The sequence below is a fragment of the Homo sapiens genome, chromosome 1 (assembly GCF_000001405.40).
Source record: "Homo sapiens chromosome 1, GRCh38.p14 Primary Assembly".
NCBI classification, from domain to species: Eukaryota; Metazoa; Chordata; class Mammalia; order Primates; family Hominidae; genus Homo; species Homo sapiens.
Window position 1 is genome coordinate 163,460,134 of NC_000001.11, and position 6,253 is coordinate 163,466,386.

The following is a 6,253-nucleotide window of genomic DNA, read 5'->3' on the forward strand; positions in this document are numbered from 1 at the left end:
TATCTTCATAGGGACTTGGCATATACACAGATGTATGCATTTTTCAAAATCAAATACAAATACACAGTTAGGATTGTACATTTCATTGTATTTAAATTTTACTTCAAAGGAAAAACAACTATAAATAAATATTGAGGCTTATTTACTGCCATGCATACTGAAATATTAAGGGTGAAGGGTACTGATATCTGCAATTTACATTAAAATGCATCCATAAGAAAATGGGCTGATGAATGGAGAAAGGAATGAATCAGTGAATAAATACGTGATAAAACAAGAGCAGTAAAACATTGAAATCCAGGTTGTGGGTATATAGGTGTTCACTGTAAAATTCAACTTGAACTGCTTAATTTGCTTCCTGAAATAATGAGTAAAAAATTAAAAGCTATTGATGTGGCATTAATTCTAGGAGTTAAGAAAAGAAAGTGGTGGGGTAAGAAATGGAGAAAGAGATGTGGACAGAAAGAAGATAATAAAGGGTAATTCTATTAGTTATCTATTGCTGCACAACAAATTACTCTAAAACATTGGCTTAAAACACCACATTTTTACTAATCTCATCATTTCTATGTCAGGAATCCAGAAATGCTTAACTGGGTAGTTCTGGCCCAGAGTCTTTCCTGAGGTTGCAGTTAGGATGTGTTCAGGTAGTTTAGTCATCTGAAGCCTTCCCTGGGGCTGGAGGATCTGCTTCCAAAATGGTTCACTCACATGGCTTTTGGCAGGAAGCCTCAGTTCCTCACTACGTGGGTCTCTCCATTTGCTGCTTGAGTGTCCTCACCACATGGCAGCTGGCTTTCCCCAGAGTGAGTGATCCAAGACAGGGAGCAAGAAGGAGATGCCATGCCTTTTACAAGCTAGTCACACACCATCACTGTTGCCATATTTGATTTGTTATATGCAAGTCACTAAGTTCTGCCTATGCTTAAAAAGAAGGGAATTAGGCTTCACCTTTTGTAGGGAGAAATTCTGAAAATTTTTGGGTATGTTTTAAAACCACTATAAAAGCTTAGGTGAGATTTTAGTAGAATTGCTTGCTATCATAAGCAGATGGTGAAGGAATCTTAAGTTTCAAGGGTTGCTTAGACCCATGTCTGAGGAATGAAAGACAACAGAATTAGGAAAAACTGTAACAAAGACACCGACTTGATCTTTGTGAAGCCAGGTAGGAAGGCAAGGCTGAAGAATCATGCCAGAAAAACCTCCTCATCTAGATGATTACAGAATTCCCACTGAAGCATCTTGAGTTAGGGTTAGGTGAGGTTGTGAAAAAGTTTAACCTTGGCTCTTTAAAGAATTGAGATGAAATTCACATGACATAAAATTCACCATTTTAATCATTGCAAAAGCATACAGTGCAAAACTATATAATTCAATGTTTTCAGTATATTCACAATGTTGTGGAATCATCACCACTATCTCATTTCAGAGAGTCATGCCAAAAGAAACCATCTAATCATTTAGTAATCACTCCCAGTTTTCCTCTTTTCCCCATCTCCTGGCAACCATTAATCTATTTTCTGTCTCTATGGATTTGCCATGACTATGTCGTTTGGGGTCAAGAAGTAAAAGGGAACCAAGGTCAGACTACCTGTGAAGAATGGCTTGACAAGGATGGGAAGGTGGGAATTGACAAGTCCAAGAGAAATGGTAGAAGAAAATAATATCCATAGTAACAGAAAAGATGGAATAATGTAAGTAAATTTACATAAGTAGTTTGAGGCCATATTAAAAACTTGAACACAGAGAATCTGAATGGTTCTACGCTTAGATGTTACCTGAAAATTAAGGATAATTATAGAGCTTCACTGGACTCTATATTAAAATTTGCTTTGAAAGCACATCTCCACATTATCCTTAGTACTTGAGGATAGATACAGCTATTTAACTGTTCAAAACTATTTAGCTATTCAAAATTGGATTTGTTTTTCCAATACGAAATGTCATCTGGTTATTTTAGGAGCATAGATAAGAATTTGGTGGAGAACAACTGACTAGGAAGATTGAGATTAAAAGTCTAGTGTTATTTGTCAGTGCAGTGATTGTCCACATGATATAAAGTTGGGTGTGCACAGCAGCACTCCATCATGAAATGGAAGTGGTATAGACGTGATCAGGTCCGAACAGGTCCTGAAGCACAAGTGAGTTCCAAGAAGTGACCCAAATGCCCATGGTCCCCAGTTAAGAAATAAGCTGAGTTAAGAAATTACACATAATTCATAGTGTCATTGCTGTTAAAATTTTTCAGAATTTCTCCCTATGAAAGGTGAAGGCTAATTCCCTTCTTTTAAATGTAAAGGTGTAAATTTATACTCACTGACAGTCCACAAGGTGATTTCTTATAATTCTATGCCTCTCTCATAGCATCTAACATTATTGGATCGCATAGTAGGTGCTCAATCAATACCTTAATGGTATTGGTGGATGTCACCTGGACTGTTAAAGAGAGCAGATGATCCTGACCACTGTGGCTCTGACAAGCTGAAAAACACAGACATTTTTGGAGCCTTGAGAAACAAAAGAAAGGACAGAGAAGCTTGCCTTCTATCCTGATCACTAAACTACCTGAGCACATCCTGACTGCAACCTCATGACAGACCCTGGGCCAGAACTACCCAGTTAAGCATTTCTGGATTCCTGACATAGAAACTATGAGATAGTAAATGTGTGATTTTTTAAGCCAATATGTTTTCAAGTAATTTGTTATGCAGCAATAGATAACTAATACAACTATCCCTTATTCTTTCTGTCCACATCTCTCCCCATTTCTTACCCCATCACTTTCTTTTCTTAACTCCTGGAATTAGTGCTACAGCAATAGCTTTTAATTTTTTACTCATTACTTCAAGAAGTAAATCAAGCATCTCAAGTTGAATTTTACAGTGAACACCTATATACCCACCACCTGGATTTTAATGTATTATTGCTCTTTATCATATAATTATCCATTGATTCATTCCTTTCTCCAGCCATCAACCCACCTTCTTTTGAATGCATTTTAAATTGCAGACATCAGTACCCTTCACCCTAAATATTTCATCCTAAATATTTCAGTATGTGAGACAGTAAATAAGCTTCAATATTTATTTATAGTTATTTTTATTTTGAAGTAAAATTTAAATACAATGAAATACATGATTCTAAAGGTCAAGTATATCTCTGGATCTGATCCTCTTAGCTTTGGATTTCAGCTCTGTGACCTCAAACGACTTAACCTCTTTCTGCCTTAGTTTCCTCTTTTGTAACATAGGCGTAATCATGCGCTTATTTTTAGCAATGTTAGGTGGACTGAATAAGTCAACATATTAAAGACCTGCAAACAGTGCCTGGCACATTCTAAGCTCTCATAGATGTTTACCCTATCACTTCTTGGCTTTTTGGCTAAGATCAAGTATAGGTGTTTGCACGGATAAACTTATTATTAAAGGAAGCACACTCTTTGGGGGAAACTAAAGAGATGCAATGTTTCTGTAATCCAATTATTTTAACATATAAAATCCTGCATCTTTTATAGTAGGTCTCTGGGCAGATGGAGTTTTAACTGTTGACAGTGTAAGACTGTGTGAATGATGCTACTGCAGATTCAGTCACAGTGTCAATCTGCTGACAGTAACTGTTTCCCTTTGACATTTCTCAAAACCAGGACACCATCTTGAATGCTTCAAGTGTGAGAAAGAATTCCTCAAAGAGACTATAAGCTTTAAAAATATTAATCTGCATCTGGAATCACTCCTGTGAACATCACATTTTATGATACAGATATCTCCTGGGATCTCTGCATCATCAACTTTTTAAAATATTGAATCTATATAATGGAGAAAACATTGCTCTATAAAACATAAAACTTTGCTGTCAAGAATGGGGGAAAGAAAAGAAATTGGTGAAAGATTTAATAACTGTGGATCCTATGGCTAGAGGCAGATATTCAGCCTTTGAAAAATATTTAAGCTTGGCTTAAGTGGATTGGCATGAGTACTGCCAACAGGTTACATGACCGGAGTACCAGAGGTAAGCTGCACCATCAAACCAGGTAGAATATGTGAAAGAATGAGCTCCTTTCTCCCTGGTTCTCAGAAATGCTGCAGTAATGAAGCAGTGACCTACCAACATCCATTGTATGTCTCAAGATCAAAGTCATTTCTTAAAAGAAAATCCAAGTTATTCTTTAAAAAGTACCATGAGAAATGAAGATAATCAGTTTGGCATGGTCACTGGCCAAAGAGGTTGTGAATAAACACAGCCTGTCTACCAACTGACTGTCAGTCCTTCACCAGGATATGGAAGTTTCAACCCACTCCACTATTCTGTTCCTCCTGCACTAGAGATGGATGCTAATTTACTAACCAAATTTGTAAAGAATTTAATGAAATAGGGAGAGAGAGAGAGAGAGAGAGAAATGAATGTACTCGTAAAACCCAAGCCAAAAGCTTCCTTCATGACTTGCTCCCAGAATCAGGATATAGGATGTGGCAAGTGTGCGTGTGTGTGTGTGTGTGTGTGTGTGTGTGTGTATACAGTCATTGGGCACATCCTATCCGTCTCTCTCTCTCTGTCTCTGTCTCTCTCTCTCTCTACATAGATATATATATATATATATATATATATATATATATATATATATATATATATACATATACACACATGTCATGCTGTCTATGCAGATGGGTGCCAAAGTCTGGACAGTTGTGTTGAGACTTTGGCACCCATCTACAATGGCCATTCTTCTGGCCTTTAAACAAGCCTGCCCTGTTGATAACCTTCACTGATAATGGCAAGCTACATTTTCTAGCCAGGGACCTCTGTTTTTACTGAGGACAACTGACCACGGTCCCACCCACTGCTTGTTTTTGGCCTGCTTATCCCCTGCTTTGATGTTGTTTTGGAAAGACTGGCTTTCTGAGCTTAGGATGTAAGACCATTCCATAATGCCCCCTCCTGTTCTGATCTTGTATCTTCTATTTCCTCTTCTACCTCTCTGGGTGTAGGGTGATTATGTAATTTTTCTGACTCTTGGAATTCAGTCTTTTTCTTTAGATGTCAGGTTAGTTCACCTCTCTGGTTCAGGTTTCCTTGTAATTTAATATAGTAATCCCTGCCCTTCCCCAGACTACTAAAAGCCAATGTCCATTGGTGGCTAGGTCAGTACTGACCTCCTGAGGGAGGAATTTTAAAATGGGCCACTATTCAAACAGACATCTAGAAAATCTGTTCTGTCTTGTACAAGTATAAGCAATGTTAAATTGGTCCTTGGAAGAGTTTCAGAGACAAAGAAAATAATATAAATAGTCTGTTTAGTGGCTTTCTTTCTGAGATATATGAGGGTTTAGGTACCTATTTATATGATTGCCAAGTTTACTGACTGAGTTGAAGTCAGTGCAGTAAGAAATAACAAGACCTTTATCACAGAACAATGATGTGGAATGGAGAGATTTATTTTGATTGAGGTTAATATTTAGAGGGCAGAATCATAAGGCATGTACCTAAGTTACTGAGAATTAACCATAGATGTCATATAGTTCATCTGAGTCAGGGTGAATAGACAAACTGATCACTTAAAATGATACTTAGATAGCATATTGAAAAGACTGACATTTAAACTCCATTTAATGCTGTTGCTGAGGCCTTAGAATGAAGGCCATAAAAATGTACCTATATGAGGTAGTCTGAAGAAGCCATAATGCTTTTTAGGACACTCATTTGGTATGTTAAAAATGAGTTTTACTAATGAAAAGTGACTCCACTCTGTGGTTAATCATGTTAAAGAAATGTTCCACATAATCACTGTGAAATTGAATGTTGGTAAATAAGCTGCTTAATATTTATTTAAATAATTTCATAAATGCAGAGGAATGAGAAATAAGACATTAGGTCATGATACATAGATTTGGGCAAAGAAGACCTTCATTTCAAAGGGCCAGTGTTTAACTGCAGATATTCCAGAAGCTGTTCTAAATTCAAAGTATAGTCTTAGTTGTCCAGTATCTTTTTATAAAGTTTATGTGGCCAAATCAGGGCATGCAATTTATGTATGAATGCTATTAGTTTTGCTGGAACAATTTAAAGGGAAGATCGGAGTTTAGACATTTGCACCGTCTTTGAGGTGCATTCAGGGATCCTGTGGCCTTGTGTGTAGCACAGCATTCTGGAGGGTGGGGCACTGACTGCCCCGTCCCCTCTTTTTTTTTTTTTTTTTCAAAAACAAGTGATTCCCTTGACTTTTAGACGGAGCCAGATATCATACAACTTTCTCTAT